General features: G+C 42.6%; 1 long non-coding RNA gene across 1 annotated transcript in view; it reads left to right on the forward strand.

Moving 5' to 3' along the window:
* The window catches only part of LOC105375653 (uncharacterized), a 39647-nt gene that overhangs the window by 16419 nt on the left and 5122 nt on the right, over window positions 1–18106 (forward strand). The window lies entirely within an intron of this gene.

Here is an 18106-nt window from a genome sequence, read left to right on the forward strand (position 1 = left end):
TGCTCTAGATACTGGGGACTCAACAGTGAATCCCTACCCTTGAGAGTTTACATTTCTAATTACACTGTGATTACCATACAATAGAGAGATACATGGTGCCAGAGGACTTATAACAGGGCACTTGACCTGGTCTGCAGGGTGATCAGAGAAGACTTTCCTGAGGAAGTGACCTTGAAACTTCCTAAGCCTGTGCCCCGCCACACTCCATTTATTGTGCCATACACACAATAAATTGAGTGTGTGTGTGTTTTTGTGTTTGTGTGTATGAGTATCTACATCCACATCTCTATTTACATATAAAGCTCAATATAGACATAGACATAGGTATAGACAGACATAGATACATCCTGGGTTCTGAAGGATGAGCAGAAGTTACCTAGGCAAACAGGAAGGGAAGGAATATTCCTGGCAGCTGGAGGGGTGTAGGCACAGGCTCTGATGCCGATGGCATTACAGTGCATTCATGGAGCTGATGCAATGTAGAGACAATAGGGATGTGGAGAGAGATGGGACTGGAGAGGTGGGAAGTGCTGTTGGATACAATGGCTGTTGGATGACCAATGAGTTAGCAGCATACACTCACTGTGGGAGGTGTGACCTGCATGCATTTGCCATACTAGTTGAGGACAGTTTCTTCTTCAAGCAGGTGTACATTTCCTGGCTCTCGGTATTTGCTTCCCCACCAACCTCCTGAGTATTTGCTGATTTATTCCAGTTGAAGCGACCACTGATGGATGTGGTGTCCCAGACCTGGCCTCATTCTCATGGTCTTTATTTTTTATTTTTTGAGGTAAGGTCTTGCTCCGTCACCCATGCTGGAATGCGGTGGCACAATCATGGCTCATGGCAGTCTCAACCTCCTGGGCTCAAGCGATCCTCCCGCCTCAGCCTCCCAGGAACTGGGAATATAGGTGTGTGCCACCGTACCCGACTAATTGAAATTTTTTTTTTTTTTTGTAGAGATGGGGTCTCACTATGTGTCCCAGGCTGCTCTCGATCTCCTGGGCTCAAGTGATCCTCCTGCCTTGACCTCCCAAAGTGCTGGGATTACTATAGGCATGAGCCACCATGCTCAACCCCCTATGGTCTTTTTAGCAGTTTCTATGTACAGGCCTCTCTCTTCACACCCATGATGTTTTGCTGCCCCTGCATATCCCTTTGCCACACTCTGTAATGCCGATAGACATCAGGGAGCTGCAATATGTTATAAAAATATTGTAAAACACAAGCAGATAGCTTAATCTACAGTCTTCACAGAGTGAAAAAAAATCGGACCACATCATTTTCTAATTTTGTTATTAGAACTCTCTCCTCCTTACACAAAGCTGAAAAATTCCTTAGGATGATCATGTAAAGTTTCCTTGAAGGATTTCATATTGTGCTTCTAAAACCTATCTTGTGCTTATTGGAACAAACCAGTAAGCTATTCCTTCGCTTGTTTCTCTCTTTTAAAAGGTCTTTTTCATAGAGCAAATTATGTCTAGATGCTAGAATAGGCTCTAATTACTTGTTTGCTTTTCATCTAAGACTCACAGGCTCCTGGTGGGTGGAATGAGTCACACTGGACCAAGTGTATGACCCCTATCCTTGCTGACTATGAGGCTAAGGAAGAGACAGCAGAAGGGAGGAAAGACGACAACAGCATCTCAAAAACAAAAGAGCAAGAGATGATGGTGACAACAGGGATTAGGAAGTTACATGTCAAAATGCACAGCAAACAGAAATAAACAGGGCAGTGAAAAACACACCTGGGCCAGGCTTTGAGCACCAGAGGCTCATGTCTACCACAGATGGCCCACCTGAGGGGAACATCAATGGAATAAAGGCTGGACAAAGGTGAGATGGCGCCGAGCTAGGCTAGATTTGAAAGCAGAGTCAGGAAAATAATAGATACTGGAAATCAAGAAATCAGGGCATTGAATGATGACAGGAGAGCATGACTTCCTGGAGCTGGAGACATTTCTAAGCAGTTGGCCTCCTATAGATTTCCTATGAGGTGTATCCTGGATCTTCTAGAAGATATCTGATAATTAGATACCAGGGTAAAATGGAACTAGTGAACATATTAATGTCCTTTTTTTTTAATGTATTTTTCTGGTCGTAAAAGTAGAACATACTGATGCAAAGTGTAAAGGCAAAAATAATCAAATCCTATCACCAAGGGAACTTATTAAGAGTCTTTTTGGGGATTCCCTGTTCAATAAATGATGCTGGGATAGCTGGCTAGCCATATGCAGAAGTATGAAACTCTGGACCACAACTTTTCACCATATACAAAAATTAACTCAAGATGGATTAAAGATTTAAATGTAAGATCTCAAACTATAAGAATCCTAGAAGAACACTTAGGAAACACCATTCTGGACATCAGCCTCGGGAAAGAATGTATAACTAAGTCCTGAAAAGCAACTGCAACAACAACAACAAAAAAATGGACAAGTGGGACCTAATTAAACTAAAGAGCTTCTGCACAACAAAAGAAAATCATCAACAGAGTAAACACAACCTACAAAATGGGAGAAAATATTCACAAACTATGCATTTAACAAAGGTCTAATATCCTGAATTTATTAGGAACTTAAACAATTCAACAAGCAAAAAACAAATAACTATTAAAAAGTGAGCAAGAGACATGAAAAGACACTTCTCAAAAGAAGACAGACAAGCAGCCAACACACATATGCAAAATGTTCAACCCCATTACTCATTAGGGAAATGCAAATCAAAACCACAACAAGATAGCATCTCACACCAGTCAGAATGGCTACTATTAAAAAGTCAAAAAATAACAGATACTGGTGAGACTGCAGAGCAAAGAGAACACTTATACACTGTTAGTGGGAATGTAAATTAGCTCAGTCACTGTGGAAAGCAGTTTGGAGATTTCCCAAGGAACTTAAAACAGAACTGCCATTCAACACAACAATCCAATTACTGGGTATATAGCCCCAAGAAAATATATTGTTCTACCAAAAAGACACATACACTGATATGTTTATCACAGCACTATTCACAGTAGCAAAGACATGGCATCAACCTAGGTGCCCGTCTACGGTGGATTGCACAAAGAAAACGTGGTACTTTTATACCTTGGAATACTATGCAACCATAAAAACAATGAAATCATGTTCTATGCAACAACACGGATGCAGCTGGAGGCCATTATCCTAAGCAAATTAACACAAGAACAGAAAACCAAATACTCCATGTTCTCACTTGTAAGTGGAAATTAAACATGGATATAAAGATGGCAACAATAGACACTAAAGACTACTAGAGTGGGAATGGAGGGAAGCAAGGGTTAAAAAACTATCGAGTACTATGCTCACTACCTGGGTGATAGAATCAGTTGTACCCCAAACCTCAGCACCATGCAACATACCCATGTAACAAACCTGCGTATGTACTCCCTGATTCTAAAATAAAAGTTGAAATTATTTTTTAAAAGACTCAGGTATTTCCTTAGGTCTTTGTTTTATCTGTGCATATACAAGCACCCTCAAACTTTCCCCCCTAAATAGGAAAAATATGAAATATTCCATGTTGTAACCTGCTTTTCTATCTTAAACATATATAAAGTTGTTCTTTATCAATATATATAATTTTGTACCACTTTAATGACTAAATAGTATTCAATCATATGGATATAAGTAATTTAATCTAGGGGCTCAAAAGGTTTTTTTTATTTTTAATCATTATAAATAATGTTATAATGATGCGTTTGCTGATAAAATTCAGTACATAGCTATGATTATCTTAGGATAAATTCCCACAAGTAGAATTGATAGGATAAAGGACACGCATGTTTTTAAAGAATATGAATACTATTCCAAATTTCCCTTATAAAGGTCATGCCAATTTACACTCCTGGGTCCTTCTATCAGCATATAAGCATTCCCATTTTTTCACTTTCTCAATAACATGTACTTTTCAAGATGTTAATTCAGGGGAACACTGTCCATGCTAATTAAGGAGATTTGAAGGGAAGCACACATCAAATTCTTGTTATTGCAGTTTTCTCCCATTCTCAGCCTTTCTCACACTTCCCTACACTCTCCCCTTATTTCCTCCTTGTCATTATTCGGTACCCATCTATCTCTTGCATTAAAGTTGCTTAGAAGAATCCCTACCCTTGAGTTCCTAACAAAATCCTTGCCTATGTTGTCCGTAGTCAGCACACTCATTTAATTATGCATTCATTTGTTCCAGCACTCATCAGGGGCCTACCAAGCACTGAGCACATCCGTGAAATAAAACACAGGGCCAGGCGCGGTGGCTCAGGCCTGTAATCCCAGCACTGGGGGAGGCCGAGGTGGGCGGATCATGACGTCAGGAGTTTGAGACCAGCCTGACCAACATGGTGAAACCCCGTCTCTACTAAAAATACAAAAATTAGCTGGGCGTGGTGTTGCATGCCCATAATCCCAGCTAATCAGGAGGCTGAGGCAGGAGAATCGCTTGAACCCGGGAGACGGAGGTTGCAGTGAGCGAAGATCACGCCACTGCGCTCCAGCCTGGGCGACAGAGCAAGACTTCGTCTCAAAATAAACCAAACCAAAACAAAAAAAGAACACACAGTTGTCACACTCAAGGATTTTACCATGGAGTTGAAGAGAAGAAACATACACATTTCAACAACAGTGATCAAGCATTCATGATGTAGCAGGCCCCCAGAATACAGAAATAAAAAATACCTAGCCTGTGATCTCTAGCAGCTTATGATTTCATGGAGAAGAGAGACCATAGACAAACAATTTCACCATCACATGGTTAGTGCTATGGATATCACAGTCCTGTGCAAGCAGAGGGTACCATGGTGTGGTGGGGAAAGAATGAGCTTCAGAATCAGGCAGCCTAGGTATGAATTTGTGGTTTTTCAACTTTCTAGTTGCGACCCTAGGCAAGCCACTTGATGCCTGTTTTCATATATCAAACTTAATGTGCACATCAAATGAAATAAGGTGTGTGCAGGGCCCTGTTACACTACATGGAGACACTCGGTAAATGGTTGCTGTTAGCAGGGTATGGTCAGTGATGGATTCTTAGAAGAGGAGGGGCTGGAATGGGAATCAGAAGATGTTGCATCATTGGGCACAAAAGGTAGAGAAAGGAATTCCAAGCAAGGGAACAGCACTTGCAAAGTAGGGACATGAAAACACGTGACTTGTTTGGAAAATTATGGAAGTTTCGTGGTGTAACATAAAATGAGAGATAGGGAAGGGCAGAAAACAACGAACAAGAAGTGGGCAAAAGATCTGCAGAGAGCTTTGTAAGTCACACTGAGGAGCATGGATGTTATCCTCTGTAGCTGTGCTGTCCAATACAGTAGCCACTAGCTGCATGTGCCTATTTAAATTTAAATTAACTAAAATTAAATTGAATTTAAAATTCAGTTCCTCAGTCACACTAGCTGCATTTCAAGTACTCAGTAGCTGCATACAGGTGGTGGCTACTATATTGGACAGACACCATCGTAGAGACTTCCCTTGGACAGTGCTGCCCTAGAGCCTTACTACTCAAAGTGATCTGCAGACGAGCAGCATCGGCCTCACCTGGGAGCTAGTTAGAAATGGAAGGTCTCGGGCTCCACCTGAGACTTACTAGCCTGAGACCTACTAAATTAGAATCCACCTTTTAACAAGATCCATCCCCACCTTCATGGCAGGTGATTCACTTGAATGTGGAAGTTTGAGAAGCGCTGCTCTCTAGAATAAGGAGCCATTGAAAGGCTTAAGCAGGAGCAGCATGGTCAAACCCACATTTTATAAGTTTGTAAGTGGGAGGATGAATAAGAAGAGGGCAAGACCAGAGGAAGAGAGACCAGGCAAGAGATGGTGGCAACAGGGCTGCTGCTGCCACATTTGAGCAAGTTAGGAAAAGGTACCTTTTCTGGGTAGAAGCACCAAACAGGCGTGATGAGCAGAGTCAGGCTGGATTTAAGCTCTCCCTCTGGCGAGGCACCCCGGGCAGTGAGCACCCTGCATGAGCTTACAAGGCAGCATGGTGGCAATTGTCCAGGTGGGTGATGAGGAAGGCCTGAACTACATGGCTTGAGGATATTGATTAACAGAAAAAAGCCACCACTACATAGGGTAGTGTTTTGTAAAACGCCATGTGCTGTAGGAGGAGAGTGCAGCGGCAGGCGTAAGAGAGTAAGGCTGTGCCCTGCAAGAAGCAGAAAGGAGGGCTGGCCTCTTCACATCACATGCTAATGGGCTGCCCTGCTCTGTGGTGTCCCTGTCTCATTTCCCATCAGGAAAGTGATTAAACTAATTGCCTTTAACCAGTGCTGTATTTCGGGCATATAATACCCATAATTTGGGGTTTGAATACAATTGCAGTAGATTATACTAATCACAGGAAAACTTCATTAAACTAATATGGGTTTATTCAAAAGAGTGTAGTTTTAAGCAATCAGTGCTCCCTAGTTGAAATGGTGCTTTCTTGTTTTATAATAAAATATATTGGATAATTCAAAACTCTGTTAATTGGAACTCCATTTTTTTCTAAAATGGACTTTTTAGAAAATGTTAACCCATTTGAAAATGTGGTCATCTTTTAAAACATGAGCCATAAAGAAAAAGAAAACTCAGAAGCAACCTTAAAGTAGAAGATCTTGAAACTTAGTTCTATTTTGAATACTTTTGGATTTCTGGGACAGGGCCCCTGTGGTAGAGGGATGCAACAAATTTACAATGAACCAGCAGGAAAGGAGTTGAAGGAATATATGCAAACCTCACACTCCTCCCTCTCCCTCTTCTTCTCCTGGCATCCCCCCACCCGCTGCCACCCCACCACTGGCCAAACCTAACAGGAGGCCAGGTTGGTAAGGGAAACTGTTGCTGCAGTCCATTCAGGAGAGACTTCCAAAATACAAAGCAATGTGGAAAAGAGTAAAGAGTGAATCCACAAGAGTGAAGGGTGTGAAGGGTAAGTAACCAGCACTTGCCCCACAAGCACACTCACAGTTATCCACAAACATATTTGTGTAACACCTTACAGTTAGCAAGTACTCAACTTTCAAACATTTTTCAAATAAGTACTTGACCCATAGCAGGTACTCCATATATATTTATTGGACAAATCAATGAAATATATTATTTGTCACTGAATTGATTTTTTCTATTCCCAATAATTGGGCTTCTTTATAAATTACTTTATTATGGAATAATACCACAAAATTTACCATTTTATCCATTTTAAAGTATACAATTTGGTGCCATTAAGTTCAGTTGTGATGTTGTGCCACCATCATTCCTGTCTTCTTCCAGAAGTTTTCATCATTCCAAATGGAAACCCTATATGACAAATTATTTTTGAAGTGACAGACTTGTTTTTCATGCAAAGATTTGTGAAAGACAAAGGATTTATAAGATCTATTAGATAGTATGATAATTTTCCTATTAGTCAAGATTTTAAAAAAAGACTTCAATATTATTTTATTAATAGAAACAGTGAAATACATAGAGCAGTTACATAGAATTAACATACAGACAGCAGTTAATTCAAACATGGAACCTGAGTATTTGAGGAAATAACTTCCCATTGACTACCTTGATTGATTGAATTGGCCAGAAAGTCGATTAATTTTTCATTTCAATTGGACTATAGAGAGATGCTAACGCCCTAATAGCACATCCTTCCTCCTTCTCAAATGATGGAATATCCACTTTCAATTCCCAACCTTTGCCAATGAAGCCAGATAAATCTCTAAAGAGTTTTGATAACATAATTTGACAATCTCCATCAGCCAGTTCATGGCAGATGGGAGGTCTAGTCCTGGTTCTGCCATCACTAGCTGCAAGCATGCAGGGGCAATCTGGCCTCCCTTATCTGTAAAACAGGGGTTTTGGGGGCTGGACTTTGATTCCCTAAAACTCCTGGCAGCTCTAACATCCCCTGTGACTCTGGCTCTGCCCACAAACCTCTGAAGCTTTCACTGGAAAATGCTCTTAGTCTATGCACATCAAATATCTAACACACAGTATTTACCCTTCTGATGAAACAGCCAGAGTGGAATTTGACCTTTTCAACGAATCATGGATGTGAGAGCCAACATTCTGTGCACGTAAAGCCAGTTGGGGACAGGTTTAGCATTTGGGCATGTAAGTAAGGCAGATTTGTTGACTAACATGTTTTCAGTGAGTATTTTAATGATATGGGGAAGCTAGTTCTGACCTATTGTCAGCAGCACAGTTTTCCCTACAGAACTGGTTGACTGGCACTAATTCATCCCCATTCTCCCACCTGGTCTCCTTGGTAACCAAGGTCCTAGATCTATGAGATATTTGCAGGACATCTGGCCAGGATTAAGGCACAGACTAGTGCTATCAGAGATCAAGCCCATAGCCTTGGCCTTTGAAGATCCCAAGCGAATTAAAGAACTGCAACCACAGGCAGGGATGTGAAACCACCCAATCCTGCTGCTGAGTCAGGTTAGCACAGCAGCTGAGAATGCAGGCTCTGCAACCAGGCTGCTTGGAACTAAACACCAGCCTGTCCCTTACTTATAGTGGAACTTTGGGCAAGTTAATTTGATTCTCTGGGCCTCAGTGTCCTCCTCATTCATAAAATGAATTTAATAAAAGTACTTTCCTCATATGGCTGTTGACAGAATTAAATGCATTAAAATACTAAGAGAATCTAGCCCTGTACATAGCAAGGGTCCATTACAAATTAGGCAGTGGTAATACCAATGTGATGACCAGTAGCTAGGTTTAACACCAATAAGAAAAACAGGGATTTTCAAGACAACCACAGACAGCATTGTTTTAGGGAGATCCACAGCAAAGATGGTAGGACTTTAAAAATGTAGCTTTGAAAGCCTCTGCTAGATTGCCATGACCAAGTATGCAAGGTTAGACTATCAGGCCAGGGATCTGAACACAGTAAAAGGTTGTGGAGATTTAAGATCATAGGTTTTGGCATCAGATAGATGTGAGTTGGGATACTAGCTCTGCAGATCACTAGCTGTGAGAACTTGAGTAAGTCCATCTATTGGAGCCTTGTTTTCCTGAAATGTAAAATGCGGATAGAAGCAGAACCTGTCCCAGAGAGTCATGCTAATGACTAAATGGATAACGCATGCAAAGTCCTCAGCATACTGCCTGGAGCATAGCAAACCATCAATAAATATTAATGGCTATTGTTACCAGGTCTGATGATGCACATATGACCCCAGTTTTCTCCCGTATTCCTAAGTTTATTCACTTACTCATTCATTTCATCTGTCAAACATTTGTCGGTACTAGCTTTGTGCATTTTATCAAATGGGACACCAAGGAATTAAAAAATGATTAAGAGATGAGGTTCATGCTCCTATCTCATAGACTAGCCCAGAAGTGAGTAATAGATACTCCAAGTAACAGGAGGGCCACTGCCCAGCCCCCTATGCACAGTTTGGGATCACAGAAGGGAGCAGCCGCAGGAAGCAAGAGGCGGGTCAGGATTAAAGGAGGTGTGTGGAAGAGGCTCTCGATGGCTGAGGAAAGGCTGTACGGCCTAGCGGTGAGGGGCACAGGCTCTAGACTCCAAGGGCCTACACTCACAATTCCAGCTCTGCCACCATGAGCTCCCGTGACTTGGTTAAGCTACTTTATTTCTCAGTGCCTCAGTTCCTCTCAGTTACAAATGATAAAATGATAATACTTACAGAATTAGTGAGTTAAAACATGGGAAGCATTGAACCGTGTCTGACTTGTAGTAAAAGTGATTGTTATGGCATGGATAAGAGAATGGGAGAATTCTCCAGGCAGGTTAGTGCTCAGGAGCTTCCTTTTTTCCTTTTGAAATGAGATACGCCCACGTAATCCTGCCACTGTGGTCCTCAAAGTCCAGAAAGATGAACCCTCTTAGTTTATCTCAAGAAAAACTTAATCTTAGCTATGGCTTATCAGAAACACATGTGGCCCCTAATAGATTATATTTCTAGTATGTACTATATATATTATCTACTATATATGTTGCATGCATATAATACATATATATGTCTTCACTTTCCCTTTGGGCCACTTTTCAGCAAGCACTGATTCAATATTATGTGGCACACAGAAACCACTTCCCCTTGGCCTCCTGGCATCCCACCCTCTCAACACTCATCTCCCCAGGTCCTAGCCTCATACCGTCATTGCCCTGGGGTGGAGCTGATGAGTGTCATCTTGGAGGGCTCTCCATAGTTCCCTGACTGGGGTCCTGTTTGCCTGTGTTTTCAAATTCTTTAGGTAGAGTACCCACCACATAAGCCAGCCTCTTTCATGCTAAAACCAATCATCTCCCATAGAAAAATATGTACCTATTTTATGTTAAAAGACCCCCTCTGCACTAAGGCAGAACAAAGAAAAACAATAGGGGTGGCCACAGCATTGAACCAACAGGAAATATGTTAAGAAATTTTCTACTTAATTCCCCACACAGAGGTCTGGTACAGAGACCATTTCATGGCTTTCTTTATAAGGTCACCCAATGCCAAGCTTAAGCTCCTGAGGTCTAATTTAGGAGGGTTAAGAACTTAATAGAGAATTCTAAGAGCAGCTGGGTAGATGCATCATTCCCTAAACCCCACTGGGATCCTGATTCCAGCAGCATCAAAAGTCTTACCTCCTGACCACCAGTGACTCAGTGAGCAGCCTGGCTCAGTGTGTCACCATGATGCTTGTCAGTGGATGCATCTGGCCTCACCGGCCATATGGTGGTTTGGAAGAGCTCTTTTGTAGTTTGATGGTTTGGAAATGACTGGGGCTCTCTTCACATTCTGTGCTGTTGGCTCATTTCTATTGGAGAAGAGCGGCTGCTTCTAGGGCTGACTTTGCCCTTGACACTGCTGATGGAAGCCTTATGAACTGATGTTTTTCATCATTCAAGCCATAATATCTTAACTTGTTAAGGCAGATAGGTAAGAACTAGTAGCTTAGGAGCAAGTTGTCAACAAGCAGCATTTCTTGAACAATTAAGATGTGTCAGACATGGTGTTGGTTGCTGGAGATACAGGGAGATAAACAAGACAAATAAGTCAGACCAGTTGGGGAGAGAGATGAAAATGGCGATCACAGTCAAGTGGGACAAGTCCATAGGAGAGGGTGTGCGGGAGGCCATGGGAACTAAGCGAGCCAGAAATAGCTTCCAAAAAGTAGCTCTACTTGAGTTATAAAAAAAGAGTACCATTAATTGAGCACCTACCATGCCTAGGTCCTCTCCCGTATATTTTACTTGTGTTATTTCAATTCATTCTCTCACCAAAGACACACAGCTAATAAGCAACAGAGCTAGGGTTTGAATACAGGGCAGTTTGAACCAAAACCCATTCCACTCCATCCCACTGCTGAGAAACTAGGCAGGCCTGGGACAATGGGTGGGAAGATAGGATCTCAGGTCAGGGAAACAGCCCTAGTAATGGGAAACAACTGTGGACTCTAAGCCAAACAGAAATGGCAGGTGTAGAAATCCTTTCCCAGGCCTGCGGCAGCATGTAGCACACGCTGTTACTAAGCCCCGAAACGGCCTTAGACTCCTTCTCAATTCACCCCTGCAGGATCACTATGAATCAGTTTTGAACGCTATTTGCTAACTGGAATAACTAGATAAATCTGGAAGGGCCATAGGGGTTCTAAAGGAAACTCGCAGAGCCAAAGGCTCAGGAAGGACACTTTTTTCCAAGTTCTCAGTTGCCTCAAAGGGAAGAACGTTAACCCTGGAAATTCTACTACTCAAATGCTGAGGCTAACGCTTACTTAAGGAACAGGACCTGACTTCAAGGTTAAGGTGCCTTTCTTTGATGTTTCAATCCTGGTATTAGCTACCAGCAGACACTTGTTGACTAGCCCAAATCCAGACCCTAGAATGGCACTGAAAGCTTGGAAAGAAGTGCTCAAACTTGGGCTTTGCATTGAATATCTTAAGAACAGATTCACATCAGCTACTTGCTTCACTCTCCTATTTAATTAAAGCACTCTTACTGTCGTTACGGAGAAGCATTAAAGGCTACTCACCTTTGGTTGAAATGTTTATATTTGGCTGCACCAACTTGGAAGATCACTTTGACCCAGCCAGAACTTTGATTAATAATCTCCAACATTTTCTGCCTCTACAATTTTTGAGCACTCGGCTGATGTTTGATGCCCAATTGGGATTAATCTCCATTTCCCATTAAGAGGAGTAACTATTTCTCAGGTAGTTTTTTTGTGTGTGTGTGTGCTGGCTGCAATCTTTGCAATATCCTTGCAGGGGCTCCTGTGGGCTTAAACATATGACATTCAAAAAATAATATGTAAATGAGTTTCTATCCATTTTATCAAGGGGGTTGTTTTCTCCATTTGTAATCTGTTTTTATGATTTTATTCTTCCTGCAGGAAAAAAAGAAGTTAGAGGTGCATTCAGCCCATACCCATAACATTGAGACCAGCTCTCTGTGATGAAACTGGAAGCAAATTCCAGATGAGAGCCCCAATTGTGCCAGAAAAGCATTGCAAAGCCCAGTGATCCTGACTAAATTGTCACACACAAAGCAGAACCTTTGATAAGAGCCATACAACCTCTGTTGCCTGGGTAACCATCAATCCATCAAGCCAGCCTTGAGTCATAAACGGTGAGAGGAGAAGGGCTGCCAGGAAAAAGGGGTGTACAGACACTTCTTGTTCCTCCCCACCTCCAGATGTGGCCTGAGGCTGCCATGCAAGGTTAATAGAAGCCTACTGTTATGTCCCTACAGACCTAAAAGACCCCTCTTACCTTAACCCTAATTCAAGGATTCTTGGATCTCCATTAGTCTTATTACAAAACCTCCTCAGGTTCTTATCAGTGCTTAGCACCTTACCAGCCCTAAGCCATACTCCTCAAAATGCCGGTCCACTGATTGGCACTATGTTGTTCACAGGATGCCTCCTGGACTGCACTTTAGTAACACTAGACTAGGGTGTCCTCAGGACAACCGCGGCTGCTCACCAGAGCTCACGCGCTTCCTGTCACTTTCACTTTGGACTGTGCTGATGAGAAATCTACTCTATGGTTCTGCTTTCCATCACATCCAAGATGCTGCACACAAATTGAGAGAGAAAAATTGATAAATATGCCTTCACTGAGCAACTAGTTCTAGTTCTGTACCAACACTTCTAGGTATATTCCCAAAAGAACTGAAAATAGGTGTCAAACAAAAACTTGTACGTGAATGTTCATAGCAGCACTATTTACTTCCCATAGCCAAGGGTTGGAAACAAACTAAATGTCCATGGATGGATGAATGGATAAATAAAATGTGGTATAGTATACAATGAAATAGCATTTGGCCATAAAAAGGAATGAAGTGCTGATACCTGCTACTACATAGGTGAAACTTGGAAACATACTAAGTAAGTGAAACAAGCTGGACACAAAAAGTCACATATGGTATGATTCCATTTACATAAAATATTCAGAATAGGTAAATTAGTACAAACAGAAGCAAATTAGTGGTTGCCAGGGATTGGAGAAGAGGAAGTATGAAGAGACTTCTTAATGGATATGAGGTTTCCTTTTGGAGTGATCAAATGTTTTAGAACAACATAGAGGTAATGGTTGTATAACATTGTGGATGTGCTTAATGCCACTGAATTGTACAGTTTAAAAATCTTAATTCTATGTTATGTAAATTTTACATTCATAAAAAGCAGTACAATGAAATTTATTATTTTAAAATAAGAAAAAGCAGAAAGAAAAACATTACCCTATAATTCTACCACCCCAAACCAAATTCTGTTCCCAATTTATTCCATGTATGTTCCATAGTAATAATTCATACTGCACATATAATTTATACTTTGTTTTAAAACTTAATGTTATTTCCAGGATGGGAACAGTGGCTCATGCCTGTAATCCCAACACTTTGGGAGGCTGAGGCAGGCCCAGCCTGTCCAACGTGGTGAAACCCTGTCTTTATTAAAAATACAGAAAAAAAAATTAGCTGGACTTGGTGGCGGGCGCCTGTAATCCCAGCTACTCGGGAGGCTGAGGCAGGAGAATCTCTTGAACCCAGGAGGTAGAGGTTGCAGTGAGCCGAGATAGTACCACTGCACTCCAGCCTGGAAGACAGAGCAAGACTCCGCCTCAAAACAAACAAACAAACAAAATGTAATGTTATTTTCAGAGCATTATCTTTGTTACATAAGTTTCATAATCTTTAACTACCGAAGAAACTTTCTTAATATACATATTTTAAATTGCTTCTTAAAATTATTGTACTAATTTATATTGACACCTGAAATATATGAAAATATCTATTTCACACACACCCTTGCTAGCATTGACTAGTCTCCCAAAAAGAGAGGAAAAAAAGTTAATTCATTTCATTTGATTGTTAGGTTGTTATTGATTTTATTTGACTATCTTGAAACAAAAAATTTTGTTTTCTGTTTTGAAACTAATCCAATGTTTAGTAAAGACTCCTCTATGCTTTATTTTGTTAGAGTAGATACTAGTTAGTCGTTATTGTTTTGGGGGTAATCCCACAGTAAATGCTTTTAAACATACTATACTAGAAACAGTTTGTCCCTGAAGGAGGAATTAGAAAATTGGAAGACTGATATGATCAAATTACCTACTGCAAAACTGAGCAGAGATAGAAATTATGAAAGATAAGACATAGAAATAAAAGTTTAAAGTTCCGGAAAAAATCAAATAGATCGTATCAGTGAAGGATTTGACCTAGTACAATTGTTGGAAGTGGTTAGACACCCCATGAAGCTATCGCCTTCCTGTCTGATGCTGCAGTAGCCACCATTTAGCCCCTCTGGCTGCCAGTAGTCACAGAAATAAAACAGACTGGCATTGATATATTTCCTGAAGTGTGGGTTGTTGGGGTTTATACATGGTCACCTCCTTATACCCCAAGGTGTGTGTGTGTGGTGGGGGAGGGACAGTGAGTAGTGACACCAGGAGCTGGGACTGTGGAAGCCACTTGTTTTTTCTTCTCCAGGAATTAGTAGAGATTAAATTTCAACCCTGAAACTTAAAAGTAATCACAAGAGCAATTTTTTTTAAGTTTACTCTTTAACATTATTCTGTTGAGATGCCACTCACATGGCAATGTGGCAGAAAGCCACAGAGGTCACGCACACTTCACTGCAACTTGGCTTGTTAACGAGTCACTGGAGATGAGGCAGAGGAGAGCCACATCAGTGGCTGCCCTGCGACCTTTGCCCACAGCCTTTCTGCTCCTCACTGAGCCTCCTGGCTAAAGCATCCCTTTGGAGGATTGTAAAGAATGGCTTAAAAAAAGGAGAACTTTAGGATTTCCATAGACATTGCCCAAGATTAATCTTGTATTTGTTCTCTAGTAAACCCAGGTAAGAATATCGCAGAATAGTCTACCAGGTGGCGATCTGTCAAGATGCAAGATTCTCCTCTTTCCTATATTAGAGTAGAAATAATGGGAGAAATGGGTTCAACTTCAGTGTGCAGAAGAAACTGGGATTGAACTGTGATAAAACTTGTTGAAATAAAGCACACACATCATATGGACTCCACTTACAATGGGAGGAAGCTGTGTTCTCACTGGTCATTCCTCCATCCTTCAATGCCAAAGTGCAATGCAGGGTGCTGACTTCCACACTCTATCACGTAGAGCCATTGTGTCCTGGAGGCCAATCCCACCTTTCGATCCCAGCAACTCTGTTCATATCTAATGTATATATTGGAATTATATTAAGATGTTGTTTGGAAACAGATCCCAAATTCCAAAATTAGTTTGTAAACCCACTGGTTTTTTTTTTTTAAACCTATGATCTATAATCTATAATTAATTGGTTTGGGTCTCAATTTTAATTTCTTCAAGCTGTGTTATCTTAGGCTAGCCACTTAGTATTTTGCCTCTCGAATTCCTTACCTGAAACATTGGTATACTGACTATTCACTGATGTTTCTGAGGATCAGTCATGCGGGCAGTAAATAAGCTGTAGGCCCAGGGGCCCAGAACAGCTATTGAGAGGTGACAGCATGCTGGCAGCCCTCGCAGCCCTCGCTCGCTCTCGGCGCCTCCTCGGCCTTGGCACCCACTCTGGCCGCGCTTGAGGAGCCCTTCAGTCCGCCGCTGCACTGTGGGAGCCCCTTTCTGGGCTGGCCAAGGCCGGAGCCGACTCCCTCAGCTTGCAGGGAGGTGTGGAAGGAGAGGCGCGGGCGGGAACCGGGACTGCCCCCGGCACTGCCCCCGGCGCTTGCTGGCCAGCAAGAGTTCCGGGTGGGCGTGGGCTCGGGGGACCCAGCACTCGGAGCGGCCGGCCTGCAAGCCTCGGGCAGTGAGGGGCTTAGCACCTGGGCCAGCAGCTGTGCTCACTTCTCAGCGGGCCTCAGCTGCCTCCCTGTGAGGCAGGGCTCCGGACCTGTAGCCCGCCATGCCTGAGCCTACCCCCAACACCATGGGCTCCTGCCTGGCTGGAGCCTCCCCAACGAGCGCTGCCCCATGCTCCACAGCGCCCAGTCCCATCAACAACCCAAGGGCTGAGGAGCCTGCGCACGGTGGGGGACTAGCAGGCAACTCCACCTGCAGCCCAGTATGGGATCCACTGGGTGAAGCCAGCTGGGCTCCTGAGTCTGGTGGGGACTTGGAGAATCTTTGTGTCTAGCTAAGGGATTGCGAATGCACCAATCAGCACTCTGTATCTAGCTCAAGGTTTGTAAATGCACCAATCAGCACTCTGTGTCTAGCTCAGAGTTTGTAAATACACCAATCCACACTCTGTATCTAGCTAATCTAGTGGGGACATGGAGAACTTTTGTGTCTAGCTCAGGGATTGTAAAGGCACCAATCAGCACCCTGTCAAAACGGACCAATCAGCTCTCTGTAAAATGGACCAATCAGCAGTATGTGGGTGGGGCCAGATTAGAGAATAAAAGCAGGCTGCCCACGCCAGCAGTGGCAACCTGCTGGGGTCCCCTTCCACACAGTGGAAGCTTTGTTCTTTTGCTCTTTGCAATGAATCTTACTGCTGCTCACTCTTTGGGTTCCCACTGCCTTTATGAGCTGTAAGACTCACTGCAAAGGTCTGCAGCTTCACTCCTGAAACCAGTGAGACCACGAACCCACTGGGAGAAACGAACAACTCCAGACGCGCTGCCTTAAGAGCTGTTAACACTCACTGCGAAGGTCTGCAGCTTCACTTCTGAGCCACCAAGACCACGAACCCCCCAGAAGGAAGAAATGCTGAACACATCCGAACATCAGAAGGAACGAACTCCAGACACGCTGCTTCCAAGAACTGTAACACTCACCGCGAGGGTCCGTGGCTTCATTCTTGAAGTCAGTGAGACCAAGAACGCACCAATTCCGGACACACTATTGCAGTACTCCACGTAGGAGATGATAATGGCTTAGTATTGATAATGACAGGATGAAGTATTTGTACTCGGAAATATTTTGAAGGTCAGGCTGATAGGATTCGCAGACTGATTGATGAGGAGTGTGAGAAAAAGAGAAGAATCAAGAATGATGCCAAGATTTTTATCCTGAGCTGCAGAAGAAAGGTAAAGCCATGTTGGGAAAAGCTGAAAGCAGGGGAAAGAGAAATAAAGAGAAGCAAGAATAAGAGATGGGGTCAGAGTCCTAATGAGCTCTCAGTGCTTTTTACTAAGACCTAAGAACTTCCTTGCCCTCTGTAGTCCGTTTTCACACTGCTATAAAGAACTGACCAAGACTGGGTAATTTATAAAGAAAAAAGGTTTAATTGACTCACAGTTCTGCATGGCTGGAGAGGCCTCAGGAAACATACAGTTATGGCAGAAAGGGAAGCAGGCATGTCTTACATGGCAGCCGGTAGGAGAGGTGTGAAGGAAAAACTGTCAAACACTTATAAAACCATCAGATCTCGTGCAAACTCACTCACTATCACGAGAACAGCATGGGGGATCCACCCCTATGATCCAATCACCTCCATCCCTCAATAAATGGGGATTACAATTCAAGATGAGATTTGGGTGAGGACACAGAGCCAAACCATATCACCCTCTGATCATGGAAGACACCCTGGTGTCCTCATTATTCATTTCCCCCTTTTATTCAAGCTAATTGAATTGGTTTCTGTTACATGCAACCAGAGAGCCCTGGCTAATAGAAGTGCTGTACCATCTGTGTGCCCAATACTGTGCT

The sequence above is a fragment of the Homo sapiens genome, chromosome 8, assembly GCF_000001405.40.
Source record: "Homo sapiens chromosome 8, GRCh38.p14 Primary Assembly".
Classification (NCBI taxonomy): domain Eukaryota; kingdom Metazoa; phylum Chordata; class Mammalia; order Primates; family Hominidae; genus Homo; species Homo sapiens.